Here is an 18,691-nt window from a genome sequence, read left to right on the forward strand (position 1 = left end):
AGAAAAAATTAGTTGGGCGTGGTGTCATATGTCTGTAATCCCAGCTACTCGGGAGGCTGTGGCGAGAATTGCTTGAACCCGAGACGTGGAGGTTGCAGTGAGCTGGGAGATCACGCCACTGCCCTCCAACCTGGGTAACAGAGTAAGACTCTGTCTCAAAAAACAAAACCAAAACAACAACAAAAAAATTAACAGAAGTAATTTTTCATTTTCTAGCTTTTCACTTACTGGCAGGATTCTTAGAATTAACATCATTAAGTGAGGGATAGGCATATTTATTTCATCTATAGCAAATGCCTGTGAAGTAGCTTGATTTCTTCACACTCTTTATTCACACCTTGTTTTGTGGGAGTTATCAGCTAGAAATCGGTGATCAGCATAACTCTTCACTGTCCGGCAAAGGTGTGGGGGTAGGGGTACAGAGAGATGAAGAACCTTACAGAGACCATCCATCCCGTTAGAACCCCAACAAGAACAGAACCCACATCCCCTGGCACCTAGACTAATATTCTACCTGAGGTTATATGAAGGAATTAAGGACAAATGTGATCAATAAAGAAGCAGAAAACAGCAGAATGTTTTTCTTTTTTGAGAAAAGATGAAATGACGTAGGCATTCTTTAGCCTCGACGAGGGAAGGGTGGTGAACGAGTCACTAAATGCCTACCGGTGAGGAAGACATTGACTGACTGAAGGGTACCCCAACATGTAGTTATTTTGTACTGATTATCAACCTTGGTTTTCTATCTTTTTGTGTGTCTCACAACCCAAAGAGTCTTTAGGACTTTAATTACATAAGACTCTATTGCACTAGATTCTGCTGGCACTGCATTTCAGCTCTAGAACAGAAATCCACTCAACTAGCACAAGTCAAATGGGGGAAGAGGTGTTATGAAAAGGCTATGACCAAAGATCTCATGAACAACACCCAAGGAAAGAAAAGGTTTAGCTGGTCCAAATAGGAAGTGGAACTAGAAGCTCCTGCCACATCTCAGGGTGTCCACATTTCTGCTCCGTTCAAGCACATCTCTCTGTACACTAGCTGCCTCTGCTGTCTCTGCTGTCTGTGGCTTTTTTTGTTCCCCCAGCTTGCACGTCTTTTATGCTGTAGTTCAGAAGGTGGTCACAATTCTATACGAAATTTCAGCCCAAGAACTAACCATTATCTAATCAGCTCAGTATCTCAAGGTCCCCATTCTCAGGGAAGAGGATGTGATTGGCTCAATCCAGCCAACAGACCCTTTAGATAGTTTTCTACGGGGTCAGTTGCTCATCCCACAAAGATTGGTGGTTGATGAGTACTACTGTCTGGGCAGACACTTCAAAACAGGGTGTAGCAAAGAGGAAATGATTGGCATATGCATAGAGGAACTCAAGAGTGATACAGCTCTTTTAGTTAAGGCTACCCAGAAAGATTGTATCACTTTAGAATTTGTGATCTTTGGATGAAGTGGTCATAATTTGTAAATAGAGAGTAGGAACCATTTTTTAATTTTTTTATTATACTTTAAGTTCTGAGATACATGTGCAGAACGTGCAGATTTGTTACACAGGTATACACACGCCATGGTGGTTTGCTGCACCGATCAACCCGTCATCTACGTTAGGTATTTCTTCTAATGATGTCCCTCCCCAAATCCCTCACCCCCTGACAGACCCTGGTGTGTGATGTTCCCCTCCCTGTGTCCATGTGTTCTCACTGTTCAACTCCCATTTACGAGTGAGAACATGTGGTGTTTGGTTTTCTGTTCCTGTATTAGTTTGCTGAGAATGATCGTTTCCAGCTTTATCCATGTCCCTGCAAAGGACATGAACTCACCCTTTTTTATGGCTATATAGTATTCCATGGTGTATATGTGCCACATTTTCTTTATCCAGTCTATCATTGGATGGGCATTTGGGTTGGTTCCAAGTCTTTGCTATTGTGAACAGTGCTGCAATAAACATACATTTGCATGTGTCTTTATAGTAGAATGATTTATAATCCTTTGGGTATATACCCAGTAATGGGATTGCTGGGTCAAATGGTATTTCTGGTTCTAGATCCTTCAGGAATTTCCACACTGTCTTCCACAATGGTTGAACTAATTTACACTCCCACCAACAGTGTAAAAGCAAGGAACCATTTTTAAATTTCATTCTAGCTCCAGTGTCTAGAACAAAACCTTACTACTTTGGGCTTGTACTGCCAGAAATTTATCATTTGTCCAGAAGTGTCTCCAAATTAGCAGACCATCAAGGAAATCTCAAAAAATGAAATGGACTGATACACAGTATGGGCACTGACTTGCCATTATTTGGGGAAGGGAAAGGAGGAAAGGGATAAGGGGAGGATATCTGCAGTCCCTACATAGGTAGGAATTCTCTGAACTATGTATGATACAAGTTCAGCACAGGACTGGAATTAGAACCAGTTCCTCAAGTAATTTTTAAAAATAAAAACAGGCCAGGCGTGGTGGCTCATGCTTGTAATCCCAGCACTTTGGGATTGCAAAGGCTGAGGCAGGAGGATTGCTTGAACCCAGGAGTTTGACACCAGCCTAGGCAACATACCAAGACCCTGTCTCTACAAAAAAAAAAAAAAAAGAAAAATAAATTAGCCAGGCATGGTTGTGTGTACCTGTACTCCCAGATACTCAGGAGGCTGTGGCAGGAGGATCACCTGAGCCTAGGAGGTAGATGTTGCAGTGAGCTATGATTGTGCCACCACACTCCTGCCTGGATAACAGAGCAAGAACCTATCTCAAAAAAATAAATAAACAAAAAATAAAATAAAATAAAAACAGAAATTCCACTCGGGCAGGGGAGAGGGAAGAGTGAATAGGTAGAACACGGAGGATTTGTAGGGCCATAAAACTATTCTGTATGATACTATAATAGCGGACACATGTATATCTGTCCAAACCCATAGAATGTACAACACCAAGAGTAAACTCTAATGTTAACTATGGACTTCAGGTGATAATGATGTATCAATGCATGTTCATCAATTTTAACAAATGTACCACTCTGGTGGGGGATGTTGACAGTAGGGGGATGTTATGCATGTGGGGGCATGGGGTATAGAGGAAATCTCTGTACTTTCTGCTCAATTTTGCTGTGAACCTAAAACTGCTCTAAAAAATAGTCTATTAAAATCAACGACAACTACAAACCTTGGTGGCAGGAATAGGAGGAAGTGTAGCCAAACAGAACCCAAACCTAGCTAGGTGGTGCATGCCTGTAATCCCAGCTGCTCAGGAGGCTAAGGCAGAAGGATGGCCTGAGCCCAGGAGTTCAAATCCAGCCTGGGCAACTTCACAAGACCTCAGTCTCTAAAAAGAAAAAAAAGAATGCAAACCTACTCTACACACTCTGAGCATAAGGATCATAAATAGCAGGAGCAGAGAGAGAAGGCAAGAGTGGATCTCAGTTACACCTGGCAGGAGCCACAGGACTCACACCCTGTCTAATAAAATTAATCAGTTCCCCCTGAATTACAATTTCACTAAAATCAGACAGCCAGATGCTTGGTTTTTCCAGACAGTGAGAAAAGTTCCTGTTCCTTGTACTATGAGGTATTATCTGCTTCCAAGTCTAGTGTTTGAACTCTCCAACCACCAGGAAACTAAATACAAAAGCTCTTCTTGGGTCTCCTCCTAACCCAACCACCAGGATGAATGAATTTTCAACGTCAACTAACAGTTTCATATGGGAGATTGCCTCTCACATTCAAGACATGAAGTTTCTCAGTTGCTGAATTTGTTCTTAAATATGTTTTCACCCTGACTTAGTCTGCAGAATATCCTAACAGTACCTCTGGTTTCTTGCATTAATTCAATGGGCCAGCTTTTCTCTAACCCTTTCCTCTAAATAACAGATAATCCTTTTCTGGTCACAGGGAGCTTGGTCTTTCTCTGTCCCTTGCCTACCACATCTTCAAGACCACTTATTTAGGGGCAGGGCAATCTCAAGTAACAGCATGATTATTTCTATGTATACCTAACCTAAGGCTTCATAAGGTGCTACTACTCATTCCTTGTCATACCCCAAGAATTATATCTGGTCTGGCAATACTCAGAAGGCTTCACCACATTGATTTGAGTAGGATCTCAAGAACGACAACAACAAAAATCAAAGAAAGAGTATGAGTACTTTTGCCTACTAACTGTGGTTAAAGATCTGAAACATTTTCCACGAGCTTAAAAAGCATAATTATCGGTTCATCAACCAGTACAAAGTTACAGTTAGACAGGAGGAAAGAGTTCTTGTATTCTATTGTACAGTAGGTTGACTACAGTTAACCCTTTTCCCGTTTGCCCAGAGAATACTCGCCCACAGTACATGAGGCTGCAGCGTCTACTCTGAGATAACTTTGCTCGCTTTTACTACTATTTTCGCAAGCTCTAGTACATTGAATTTGGAAACAAAAAACATCATTCTATTTATAACATTCTGTTTTTAGCACTGGTATTTCCATTTACAAAATATAGTAATTCTCAATCGCTGAAAATATCAAATCCTAGAAAATGCAGCATTCCTACGCATGATGGTAACATTGTTCTTGAACAGTTATTAGCCAAAGATCCATTTCAATTCAATTTTTCTGAAATAGATGATTCTGATGATTCAGACAATTCTGATGTTAGTTCTGTTTAGAAATAACTCCAAAAACAGTTTTTATATTTTATTTTCACATTGAAAATCTGTCAGATTTGCTTCAGCCTCAAAGAGCACATTAATGTAAAATTAAATGAGCGCTGGGTAGTGAGCTGCACCTTTTTTCCTAAATGGGAAAAGGGTTAAACATAATGTATGCATATTTCAAAATAACTAGAAGTGAGGATTTTGAAAGTTCTCACCACAAAGAAACAATGTTTCAGATGACGGATATGCTAATCATCCTAATTTGATCAGTACATAATATATACATGTGTTGAAACATCACATTGCACCCTATAAATATGCACATTACGTGCCAATTAAAAATAAAATAATTTTTAAAAAGAAACATATAAACTCCCCAAATTTATTGGCACTTGGGAACATCAACAAACCCCAAATAAGATAAATGCAATGAGATCCACAAACAAAAACACTGTAGTGAAAATGCTGAAAGTCAAGGACAAGGAGAAAGTCTTAAAAGCAGAAATAGAAAAATAGCCCATTACTTACAAGGGAACCCCAATAAGATTAACAGGTGACTTCTCAGCAGAAACAAAAGATCCCAGAAAAACATGGGAAAACATATTCAAAGTGCTCAAAAGTTGTCAACCAAGAATCCCATATCCCCCAAAACTACCTTTCAAAAATGAAGGTGAAATAAAGACTTTCCCAGAAGAACAAAAACTGAATTTGTTGCTAGAAAACCCACTTTGCAAAAAAAAGTGAATTAATACCAGAAGGTAATTTGAATCCACACAATAAAAGAACACTGATAATTATGTAATTATAAATGCACATTTTTTCTCTCTTATTCTCATAACTGACATAAAAATGAATTGCATAAAATGATATGTACACACTGTACTGTTGGGCCTATAACATATAGAAAGGAATAAGATATGTAAATATATTTGCCAAACACAGTGCAAATGAGTTAAACAGCCAAGCTGTATTGGGCTAAGGAAGTAACTACACATGTTAAAGTAATAATTAAAACATTGTTGAATTCATAACATTGAGAGGTAATATGTATAACAATAATGTCACAAAAAAAGGAAGAGAAGGGAATAAAGCTATGCAGATGATCCATAACTTATGAAGGTTAGACTTACAATTTTTTGACTTTACAATGATATGAAAGTGATACACAGTCAGTAGAAGCCATACTCCAAATTTTGAATTTTGCTCTTTTCCCAGGCTACTGATATGTGATACCATAACTACTGATAAAACAACTAGAAAAAAGATCGAGAAAATAGAACACTTGAATAACACTATAACCAAGCAGACCTAACAGACATCTATAGAACTCTCCACCCAACAACAGAACATACATTCTTCTCAAGTATGCTTTTCTCACAATGCTGGGCAGTGACAGCAAGCCACAGCTCCCAGTCAGCCCAGCAATCACAGGGGTAAACAAGTAACACTCTACAGTGCACGGTGTCACTAAGCAATGATGTGCACTACATTAGGTGTATTAAGTGAATTTCTGACTTACAATATTTTCAACTTATGATGATATAACTCCATCATAAGTCGAGAATCATATGTATAGGACATAAGTCAAAAATCATATGTATAGGAGTAACATTTCTATATATCACGGTAATTATTCTACGGCAAACTCTAGAGTAGCCACTAAAAAAAAAAAATTCAAAAAGAATAGTGAAAACATCATTAAAGAAATTAAAATGCTACATTATGAAATATTCACTTACAGGCATCAGTTACTACTCATGCCTGTAATCCCAGCACTTTGAGAGGCCAAGACAGAAGGATCACTTGAGCCCAGGAGTTTGAGACTGGCCTGGGCAACAAAAAATCTCTACAAAAAAATAAAAAAAATTGGCTGGGTATGCTGGCTTACACCTGTAATCCCAGAACTCTGGGAGGTGAAGGCAGGCAGATCACTTGAGGCCAAGACTTAAGAGACTAGCCTGGCCAACATGGTGAAACCCCCCGTCTCTACTAAAAATACAAAAATTAGCTGGGCATGGTGGTGCATGCTTGCAGTCCTAATCACTCAGGAGGCTGAACCATGAGAATAGTTTGAGCCCGGGAGACAGAGGTTGCAGTGAGCCGAGCTCACACCACTGCACTCCAGCCTGGGTGACAGACCAATACTCTGTCTCAAGAAAAAAAAAGAAAAAAAAAATCAAAAATAGAAAAATTAGCCAGGTGTGGTGGTGCATGCCTGTGGTCCCAGTTTCATGGGCAGCAAAGGAAGGAGAATCACTTGAGCCCAGGAGGTCAACAGTGGCAGTGAGCCATGTCCATGCCACTGCACTCCAGCCTGGGCAAGAGAGTGAGACCCTGTCTAAAAAAAAAAAAAACAGATAATACTTACTTAAAAGAGCGTAATAAAAGGAGAAACAGAGTTACAAAAAAAAGACGAGATATACAGAAAAAGTAAAAGTTCAGACATAAAGCCAACTATGTCAATAATATCATGGATGTGAGTGGAATAAACAATCCCATCAGGCTGGACACGGTGGCTCACACCTGTAATCCCAGCACTTTGGGAGGCCAAGGTGGGTGGATCACTTGAGGTCAAGAGTTCAAGACCAGCCTGGCTAACATAATGAAACGCTGTCTTTACTAAAAATACAAAAATTAGCTGGCTGTGGTGGCAGGTGCCTGTAATCCCAGCTACTCGGGTGGGTGAGGCAGGAGAATCGCTTGAACCTGAGAGGCGGAGGCTGCAGTGAGCAGAGATCGTGCCATTGCACTCCAGCCTGAGTGGCAGATCAAGACTCTGTCTCAAAAAAAAAAAAAAAAAAAAAAAAATTCCCATCAAAAGACAAAGATTGTCAGACTTTAAGAAAACATGATCTAACTATATGCTGTCTATAGAAGACACACTTTAGAGTGAAAAATACAAACAGATTGGAAGTAAAAGGATAGAAAAGATATGTCATGCAAACATACAAAAACAAGAAACTTAATTGTGGCTATACTGATATTAAAAAAAACAAATTTTAAAACAAAAAGCTATTAGAGATGGAGAGGGACATTTTGTTAATCATAAAAGGGTCAATCCATCAGGAAGATATAACCATTATAAACATACACAACTAAGGACCAAAATTCATGAAGCAAAAATTGACAGAAAGGGAGAAACAGACAATTGAATATTAATCGCTGGAGACTTCAAACTGTCATTTTCAGTGATAGATAAAACAACTAGAAAGAAGATCAACAAGAAAACAGAACACTTGAATAACACTATAAACCAACTAGATCTAACTTACATCTATAGAATTCTCCACCCAATAGTATATACATTTTTCTTAAGATCACATGGAATATTCTAAACAGATCATATGCTAGGTCATAAAATGAGTCTTCATATATTTAAAAGAACATTAGTAATATAACAAATGTGCTCTGATGACAAAAAAAGCAATTAAAAATAAATGCAGGAAGTTTCAAAGGAAATTCACAAATGTGGAAACTGAACAAGGCACTACTAAATAACCAGCTGGCCCAAAGGAGGAAAAACATGCTTTGGGACAAAGATAAGCTGCCAGTAACTGATCCTAAAGAGAGGATTATAGAAAAGCTGCCTGACAGAAATTCAAAATACTTGTTTTAAGGAAATTTGGCTAACTTCAATAAAGTAGAGAAAAACAATTCAGAAATTCATCAGAGAAATTTAACAGAGAGATTGAAATAATTTTTTAAAATCAAACAGAAATCCAGGAGCTAAAAACTACAATGAACAAAATAAAAAATCCAACAGAAAGCATCAATAGCAGAATTGTTCAATTAGAGGAGTATCAGTGAATTCAAAGACAGGTTAATTGAAAATACGTAACTAAAGGTGAAAAAGGAAAAAGGAATGAAGTTACAGGATTTATGAGTAACATCTAAAGAGCAAATATGTGGGTCACTGGTGTTCAAGGGGGAACCTTGAAAAAGAGAAAGTAGTAGAAAGCTTATTAAAGAAATAATAACAGAAAGTATTTCAAACCTGGAGAAAGCTATAGCTATCCACGTACAGGAAGATCAAGGGCAACCAGTCAGATTTAATCCAAATAACACTACCCCACAACATATTATAATCAAAATGTCAAAGATCAAGCACAAAGAGAGGATCCTGAAAGCAGCAAGAGAAAAGAAGCAAATAATTTATAAGGGAGTACTAATATGCCTAACAAGAGACCTCTAAGCAGAAACATTGTCCTGAAGAAATTCAAAGTCCTAAAGAAAAAAAAATTAAAACTATCAACCAGGAATATTACACCTACCAAAGCTGTACTTCAGAAATGAAGAAAAGAATAAAGACTTCTGGACGACAAAAGCTGATGGAATTCATCAGCACCAGACCTGTCTTACAAGAAATGCTAAAGGGAGTTCTTCAAGATGAAAGAAAAGGATAGCAATGAGCAACACAAAAACATCTGAAAGTATATAACTCACTGATAAAAGCAAGTACACAGTCAAATTCTGAAGTCTCTAATACTGTAATGGTGGTATGTACATCATATATTTTTTTAAGAAGGTTAAGACAACACAATTAAAAATAATAGCTACGATAATTTGTTAGGGGACATGCAATATAAAAAGATATAAATTTTGACACCAAAAGCTCAAAATGGGGGAGTGGAGTTAAAGAGTATTTTCTTTTCGATCAAAGTTGCTATCAGTGTAAAATAACCTTTTATAACTATAAGGCATACTTTTATAAGTCCCATGGTAACCACAAAGCAAAAGCCTATAATAGATACACTAAAAATAAAAAGCAAAGAATCAAAATATACTACTAGAGAAAATCACTTAACCTCAAAGGAAGAAAGAAAGAAAAAAAGAATCTACAAAACTAGAAAAAAATTAATAAAATGACAGTAGTAAATCCTTACCTACCAATAATTACTTTGAATGTAAATGGATTAAATTATCCAATTAAAAGACACAGAGTAGCTAAATGGATTTAAAAAAAAAGAAAACAAGACCCAACTATATACTGCCTACAAAAGACTTGCCTCACCTATAAGGATACACATAGACTGAAAGTAAATAAATGGAAAAAGATACTTCACACAAATGGAAACCAAAACAGGAGTGGCTATACTTATATCAGATAAAATAGACTTTAAGTCATCTGTAAATAGAGACAAAGAAGGTCATTATATTAATATATGATAATGGGGTTGGTCAATTCAGCAAAAGGATATGTTACATATTTAGGTGCTCTGATGTTGGGTAAATGTATATGCACCCAATGTCAGAGCACCTAAATACATAAAGCCAATATTAATAGATCTCAAGAAACAGATAGATTGTAACACAATACTAGTAGAAGAGTTTAACACCCTATTTTCAGCAATGGACAGATCATTTAGACAGAAAGTCAACAAAGAAACATCAGATATGAACTGTACCCTAGACCAAATGGACCTAACAAACATTTACAGAACATTCTATCCAACAGGTACAGAATACACATTCTTCTCAACTGCACATCAATCATTTTCCAGTATAAATCATATGTTAGGCCACAAAATAAGTCTTTTAAATTTAAGAGTATCAAAATCTTGTCAAGTATCTTTTCTGACCACAATGGTATAAAACTAGACATCAATAAAAGGGGAAACCTTGAAAACTTTACAAATACATAGAAATTAAACAACATGCTCCTAAACAATGAGTTAATGAATAAATTTAAAGAGAAATTTAAAAATATCCTGAGACAAATGAAAACGGAAACATAACATACCAAATCCTATGGGATAGAGCAAAAACAATTCTAAGAGGGAAGTTTATAGCAATAAATGCCAACTCTCAAAAATAACCCAAAGCCCAAACTTTGAGAATGATCTATTAAATGCAAATACCCTGAGAAAGGATATCCCTTTTATTAAACATTAATTAATATTTTATGAGAAACTTGTTTTGTTGTTGTTTTGTTTTGAACAGATGGCTCTTCCTCTGTTGCCCAGACTGGTGTGCAGTGGCACAATCATAGCTCACTACAGCCTCAAACTCGTGGGCTCAAGGGATCCTCCTCCTCAGCCTCCCCAGGGGCTGGGACTACAGGTGCATGTCACCACACCCAGCTGGACTTGTTGATAGTTAGTAAAGGTTGTTAGGCACCATACCATATCTGGCAATGACAAAAGGTGAATGAGACAGGTGCCAGTGACAGGCAAAATGAGAAGATGCCAAAGACAAATTCTGCCTAGAGTCAGCTTGGGTTACTCCAAAACATTTAGCCTGCCATTTCTGCAACATTCAGCTCTTCAAGATGGCGCACAGGACCAATAAGGCAGTCTCTGCTATTTATTACAGAGCATTGACCAAATAACTTACTACTCTGTGGCTGTCACCCTGATTCTGAACCCACTCTTCAAAGTTTTGTTTCAAACACTTTCTTTCTCAAAGACCACTTTTTTAATGAAAATACAGGCTTACCCTAAATTTGTACAAACATAAAAGGGTATACTTTACTCACTATGTTCCAATTATAATATTACATGCAAGCAAATAACTCACTTTACAAAAAAATAAAAATTTAATGAATGGTAGCAGCTTAATTATTTCAAGCTGCCAGTAGGCATAAAGTCAAATATTTTCCAAAAACACAAACAGCCACTTATGACTCACCTGTGCCTCTTTCTTTTCATCTAATAAATGTCAGCATAACAGAGTGATTAAGAAGGCTGACTTGGAGGCAGACTGCCGAAGTTTGAATCCCTACTCTATAACATACTAGCTATGTGACCTTGGGAAGTTATTTTGCCAGTCTATGCCTCCGTTTCTGTATCTGTAAAATGGGAAAAACCTAGTAGGGTTGCTGTGAATAATAAAATACATTAATTACACAGAAAGCACTTAGAATTGTGCCTGGCACATTTTAACACCCATTCAATGTCAGTTATTATCATTAGTTATTGTATTTCTAAGTAGAAACCAATGTCTTTCTCCAAGAGTCCTCTACTAGCTAGAAATAATCTCTCTTGGCAAGCCTAAACACCTGTCGGCAAAACTGTTCACAAAAGCAATGGAGTCAACAGAGAGAATAAGCATTAATGTCCTGAACGGGCTGTGCATCACACAGCCTGAAAGCCCCAAAGTTGTTTACTTTACTATCCCACAAATATTAGAGTCAGAGGTTTCAAGATTTTGCTAAGCCAGTTCCTACTACATTCACAATATGTTAATATGAGATGGATAAGACAGTTTGGTCGGCTGTCAAGTCATGAGTTGTATAAACACTAGTACGCAACAAAATGACTGTAAAAGTCATGTGGTTCCTATTGGTCATATTAAATTATACTTGAAGACTTTTGCTTTTCTAGCTGCAAATAACTGGGAAAAGAGTGTACTTGAGAGCAAGACTCAAATTTAAATAAACTGTAAATTTCTCAACATCTTGGAAACTTCAGTTCAGCCTCTTTTTATGTGCAAGACTAAACCCAGTACAGTTTATAACTTGAAATCCAAACATATCACTAGCATACTGGGTTCTAATCTCAGCTCTGATCCACACAGCACTATTAACAGTATGGCCCAAAATATTTCACTTCCCTCTAAATGAAAAACACAATGATATGTACCAGTCTTACCAGACAAAAAAAGATTAAATGAGATAAATATTAACAACAGCAGTTGTAACTGTTAATAAATAACACAGGAAAGTATCATTTACTTGAACTCTAAGACTCCTCTCTCTCACACACACACACACATACACACACACACACACACACACACACAAACATACGCATGCGCACACGCACAGAGAGAGACACGCACACACACAGAAAAAATAAATCTGAGCCAAGGAATAAGGGAGAAAGCATAAAAAGGAAATAATTTAATGGTTCTTCTAAATACTGAAAAAAAAAGATTTTGATATCTAGAAGAACATGAAGATAAATAAAACGGTATGTTGCCAAAGAGAAGGATTGTGCAAAAAAACCATAGACATGTAATAAATAATATAAAGGAATTGAGAAAGAAATAATTTATTTCTCAGTCAGAACCAAAAATGAAGTCTCTATGTAATTAGGAGCCCTAGGGAGAATATAACTATGATGGAATAAATCTCACCCAACAGACTTGGCTGAGATAATATTATAAATTATTATAATACTATAAACTAAACAAACTAATATCCAAAACAGCAAACTGAAAATAGAATGCCATAAATTATATGGAGTTTTACACTTAACATTAGTACAGCTTATGTACTTTTTGTATATCACAATAAAAAAGCAAAAATAATAATGCCAATAATAGATGTGAATAAACAATATACATATCAAGAAACACGGATTTCTTCTTTCAACAAACATCTACTAAATGCTGACTAAATGAAAAATAACACTACAAGTCAAAAAAGCAGAGTGAAACCACTTTTGACTATAAAATCAGTGATTAAAAAATACTTCACAGATTGCTTGAGCCCAGGAAGCTGAGGCTGCAGTGAGCTATGATTATACCACTGCACTCCAGCCTGGGCAACAGGGCAAGATCCTGTCTTGAAAAAAAAAAATTCCCAGTACTGGCAAGAATACAGTTAAACAGCCACTCATATGCAGGTTTCTGGTAATGTAATTGGTCCAAGTTTTCTGAAAGATAATCAGAGAAGTATATCAAAAAACTTTGAATGTGTTTATACCCTTTCACTCATTAATCCACTTCTAGGAATTTAGTGTAAGGAAATAACCAGAGATGTACATGATTGATATAAAAGGATGTTCACTGCATATTTATTTACAATAGTAAAAAACTGCTAACAATCTATATCTCCAACAATAAGCAATGAATTATATAATTTGTAATACAGCCATATGAAGGAACTTAAGCCATTAGTCTAATTTCAGAAAAATATGACTTAATGGTACGGAAAACTGCTTATGTTAGACTTAAATGTAAGACTATAAAAAGCTATATACAATATGATTGCAATTTTCTTCTATACACACAAACATATACATATACAACCAAAAACTGGAAAGCAAACACCACAATGTTAACAACAGTTTTCTTTGTGTAATGCCAGATTATTTTATTGTACTTTTCATTAATTTATAAATTTCCTATAATAATCATGTATTATTTTTGTAACCAGTGCAGTGATCTTTGTGGTTAAACACAAACTGCCTTTTCCAAGCCAACTAGGGAAATTCCATTCCCTTGTCAGTGACTGTATCCTAGGCCAATACGTGGAGATGTCTGGTGTAGGGGCTTCCAGGAAAGATTTCCTTGCTCCTTACAGGAAAAACAAGAGAAGAACTGTTTTCTTTTGAATACTGTCATGACCGGTATGATTTATTTATCATTCAATCATTTACCTAAAAACACCTACTATGCAGCAGGCACTGTGGCTAATGAAAAGATGTAATTTTTAATCTTTGAAACATTTTATAGTAGACTGGAAAACACACAACTGAGTGGGGTAGCAGATATGCAAACAAAAATTCCAATAATAATGTGAAATTGATCTAATGGCAGCACACACACATAACGTGGGGGCACAAAGATTTCACAAACCAGAAGAGTCTCGAGGGCTGATTACTGTTCAAGCAAAGAAAAGGGGAGCATCATCAGACCCAGTGTCCAGCCACAGCACTTTCCTGGCACGTGCAAAGGCTCAGAGTTTAGTGAGGCATGGTGGCGGGCACCTGCAGTATTCTTCACAATTTAATTTTTAAAAGGTAATATGAACATATCTTTATAAATCATCTTAAACACTAAATAATTTGCTCCTGAATTCTGTATCTCATTTATATATAAATACATCAACTATACTAAGGTTATTAGAGGAAGCAAATAGCTTCCTCCTTAAGGGAATTTCTCAATCCACCAAAATAATAATTATTATTATTTTATAGCAGCTATCACTTACATGGTGCTTATTCTATGCCAAGGACAATTATAAGCACCGTAAACTTATCTCAGTCCCTACAATCCCACTATACAGGTGTGGAAACTAAGGAAAAGAGAAGTAAATATCTTGCCCAAATATCTTGCCCAAGGTTACATATCATGTACGAGATGGAGCCACTCACCAAGAAACATACCATGTGCTCATCCACATGGTATGTCAGTTTTTTATTGTTTTTTGTTGTTTTTATCCATAAAAGTCAGTTTTTTGTTGTTTTTATCCATATCAAAAGCAAAAATTTTCAACAACCTCAACCTAAACTTAAGGAGGAACTATCATTTTTTCTAAGCATGTGCATTCCTCATTTATGTTCACATTGGTTAATTCCTCCCTCAAGTCTCTCTATCCAACATCATCCATATCAGCAGTCTCCTTCTAAGATCCTCAGTGGATCCTTCCAGCTGTCAGAGGCAATGTCTCTGTCTGCTGTTTATATTTACACATCCAAAGTTTACCCACTCAAACTTTTGTGGGGAAACCACAGACAATGTCTGCCTCTGCCAAAGGATAAAGGGAGAAAAATGCTTTCCATAGAGTTAAAAGAATTCCATTTGTCAAATCAATCTGATGATGCTGGATGAACTGAACATTTCCATCTGACTACCTTACCACCTGCTATTTAATATGAAATTACATAATTTCCCAAGTGGAAACCATTCAAATTGCTCTTCAAGGAATTAAACTAGAAAATTCTCTTTCTTGTGTACAACAAAAAGGCAGGCATGTTCTAGACAGGAGCTGCACAGAGTAGTATTTCTGCAATTTTTTTTCCTGAACAAAACTGTATTTCTGTTCTGTTGCATAAAAATTCAAGATACATATCCAAGATAAGGAATTTGGTATGGACTTTTTTTTACCACTGCCATATGGTAGTAAAATCAGTTTTTCTAGCTGATAAGGAACCCCTGTTCTCCCAAACTGAATTCATAATTTATCCCAAGACCTCTGAAATTTTATTTATCAGCAACAGATTCATGATCCCAGTTCTTCATAATCTCTGTACAGAACAAGTACTTCTGACATTAAAATAAAATGCTATAATTTAATTTTAATATTAATAAGTGGAATAATTATTTCTTTTATCTAAAAACATTCTTGCTTTCTCTAAAACACAGGCTGTTTCAGCAATAATAATTTGTAAAGCAGGATTTTATTTACAATTTCATTATCCAAGTCGATCATGTTTGTTCTATATAACATGATGCCTTTACCAAGACCATATATAGGAGAAAATTAAACTTGGTTTGGCTAGTATAATAACTATTTGTTACAGCAGATCTTAAGAGTTATATATGTCAAGGGATTTTCTTTACCTGCCCAGCTACTTGAAAACCGCTAGGCTATTCTTTGAATAGGCTTTGACTGTGACTTAACCTTAGCATGCACTGATGCAAATTCTATTGACAAGCCATACTTTAATACAAGTGTCCATGGTTTTGTGTTTTATATGGATTTACATGGATTTCTTTTTATTTGTTCTTATAGGTCAACTGAGTCCCAGCACTTGGCTCATGCATTCAGCATGTTTCACTCTGGCCCCTGACGTCTTGGTTACCAAGCTCTTGCCAGGGGAAATTTCCTATGCTCTTCCATCTTGATTAGTTTGTTGATAATCTGAATCCAGTGCTTCTATTTGATCACACATAGGGCATTTCACTTTTTTTTTTTTTTAATTTCCAATGACTCTTCTCTTTGTTCACTGTTTCCTGTTTCCTTTAAGAGTCTCATTTCAGACCAGGCTTGGTAGTGCAAGCGTGTAACCCTAGTACTTAGGGAGGCTGAGATGGGAGGATCACTTTAGCCCAGGAGTTCTGAGACCAGCTCAGTTAACAGTGAGACCCCATCTTCACAAAAAAACAGACAAACAAAAATTAGCCAGGTGTGGTGACACACACCAGTAGTCCTAGCTGCTTGGGAGGCTGAGGAGGGAGGGCTGCTTGAGCCCATGAGTTTGAGGCTGCAATGAGCTACGGATCATGCCACTGCACTCCAGCCTAGACAAAAGAGCAAGACCCTGTCTCTAGAAATAATGATAATAAGAAGAGTATCATTTCAATCTACTACTTTTATATTTTATTACTCTGTTTTCTATAGTTTTTCAGAGTTACTACATAAGGTTCAGACTTAAAAATTTTTTTCTGAACTTTTAAAATACCTGATTAGGTAACTAATGCTCAGAAGCACATATAATTCTAATAAATAGCACTATCTGTCTGTCTCCTGCCAGTAACAGTATATATAAATTAACAGGTATGATTTTTACACAATCACGGAGTATTTGCACAACCAGTGGCTGGAGTAAGAACTGAAAAACCACACAACTGAACCTTGAAGTGCGCGTGAGTATAGTATATAGAAATCATACCACAAAAAGGTAGTCATCTTTCACACTTGTATTTCACGGGGGGATAATAATTTCATGTGTCATCATCTACAGGCTTATGATTGAGCTAAAATTCTAAATGATTCTTCTCCACAAAATTAATATAAATTCAAAGCATATTAATACATTCTCTATTGTTCATTCAAATTTTTAAAAATTTGTTTTAGTTTTTAACCATAACTGTATGATATTTTATTGACTGACTGAGACAGGGTCTTGCTCTGTCACCCAGGCTGGAGTACAGTGGTGCTATCATGGCTCACTACAGCCTTGACCTCCAAGGCTCAAAGGATCCTCCTACCTCAGCCTCCCAAATGGCTGAGACTATAGGCACATGCCACCATGCCTGACTAATCTGATATTATTTTTATTTTTTGTGGAGACAGGGTCTTGCTATGTTGCCCAGGCTGGTCTCAAACTCCTGGGCTCAAGTGATCCTCCTGCCTCAGCCTCCCAAAGTGCTGGGATTACAGACATGATCCATTGTGCCCAGCCACACGTTTTAGAATAGAAATCAGACATGCCTGAGGCTTACATCTTCTGAAAGACTGATTCCAGAAAATTGGTCTTCATGTCATCCAACCTTGCAGTAAACTCTAAAAAACGTTTGGCAATTGTTGTGAATCAGTTAATTCTACCTCCTGAGTAGGCACACATGTCACTGGGTTCCAGAAGAGTAATGTTCAAGCAGTGGAAGGGTAATTGACCAAAACCATATAAAACCCCATTAGAAGTGATAAGGGAGCTTCTCTTGCCATGCAAATCCATCCTTTGGGGAACTCTGGGGGACCTGAGAAACAATACTTCTGTCTGGGATCATATATGCTCCATCTTGATCCACAGATTCCCAAGTCTTTTGCCATTAGGGAAACTGAGGATCTTCCAAGTATAACCAATGATATCTTTCTGTCAGCAATATCACTATTCCATTGTGATCAACACGAACATTAATCCTCAGATCGAAGAAGCCCTATTACTCCCAAGAAGGAGATCTTGAAAAAGGGATTTGAGTAGAGTAGTTTATTTGGACAATAAAGGGAACACCATTAAGAAAGTAGAGAAGTGACACAGGGAATCACAGCCAATGAAAGGAGGGTTATTAAGCCAACTACCAGAGTGGGTAGGTAACCAGAGCTCAGTCCAACAAGACCTCTGGAAAATGGGACAAAACACACTCCTCTGAAGTAAAATACACAGTAAAACTGCAGAAACTAAAGGCAAAGAGGAAGTCCTAAAAGCAGACAGAGATTATAAAAAGACAAATTGCTTTCAAGGGAACACTGCTAAGAATAGGAGGCAAAGACACAAAAAGAAAATCATAAGCCAATATCCCTGATAAACTTAGATGCAGAAGTCCTCACTCAACACAACACTAGCAAACAGAATTCAACAACACATAAAAAAAGATCACATATCATGATCAAATGAAATTTACCCCTGGGTTGTAAGGATGATTCAACATACGCCAATCTATGAAGATGATATACCACATTAACAGAACCAAGAATAAAAATCATATGATCATCTCAATAGATGCAGAAAGAGCATTTGACAAAATTCGACATCTTTCATGATAAAAAAAACTGTCAACAAATTAGGTATAGAAGGAATGTACATCAACACAAGGCCATCTGTGACAGACCCACAACTAACCATACCGACTGGGGAAAAGTTAAAAGCATTTTCTCTAAAATCAGGAACAATACAACGAGGTCCACTCTTACCACTTCTATCCAACACAGCACTGGAAATCCTACCCAGAGCAAT

At 36.9% G+C, this 18,691-nt stretch overlaps 1 protein-coding gene across 18 annotated transcripts in view; it reads right to left on the reverse strand.

The window, feature by feature from the left end:
* FANCC (FA complementation group C) overlaps positions 1-18,691 on the reverse strand; it is a 218,656-nt gene that overhangs the window by 173,486 nt on the left and 26,479 nt on the right. The window contains exon 1 of one of the 18 annotated variants that reach the window (XM_047422949.1): positions 5,756-6,182. The exons of the other annotated variants lie outside the window; for them this stretch is intronic. The gene's annotated coding sequence lies outside the window, so the exon portion shown is untranslated. Of the gene's footprint in view, positions 1-5,755; positions 6,183-18,691 lie in introns of those variants that run through there. 18 annotated transcript variants of the gene reach the window in all.

This window comes from Homo sapiens, chromosome 9, assembly GCF_000001405.40.
Source record: "Homo sapiens chromosome 9, GRCh38.p14 Primary Assembly".
NCBI lineage: Eukaryota > Metazoa > Chordata > Mammalia > Primates > Hominidae > Homo > Homo sapiens.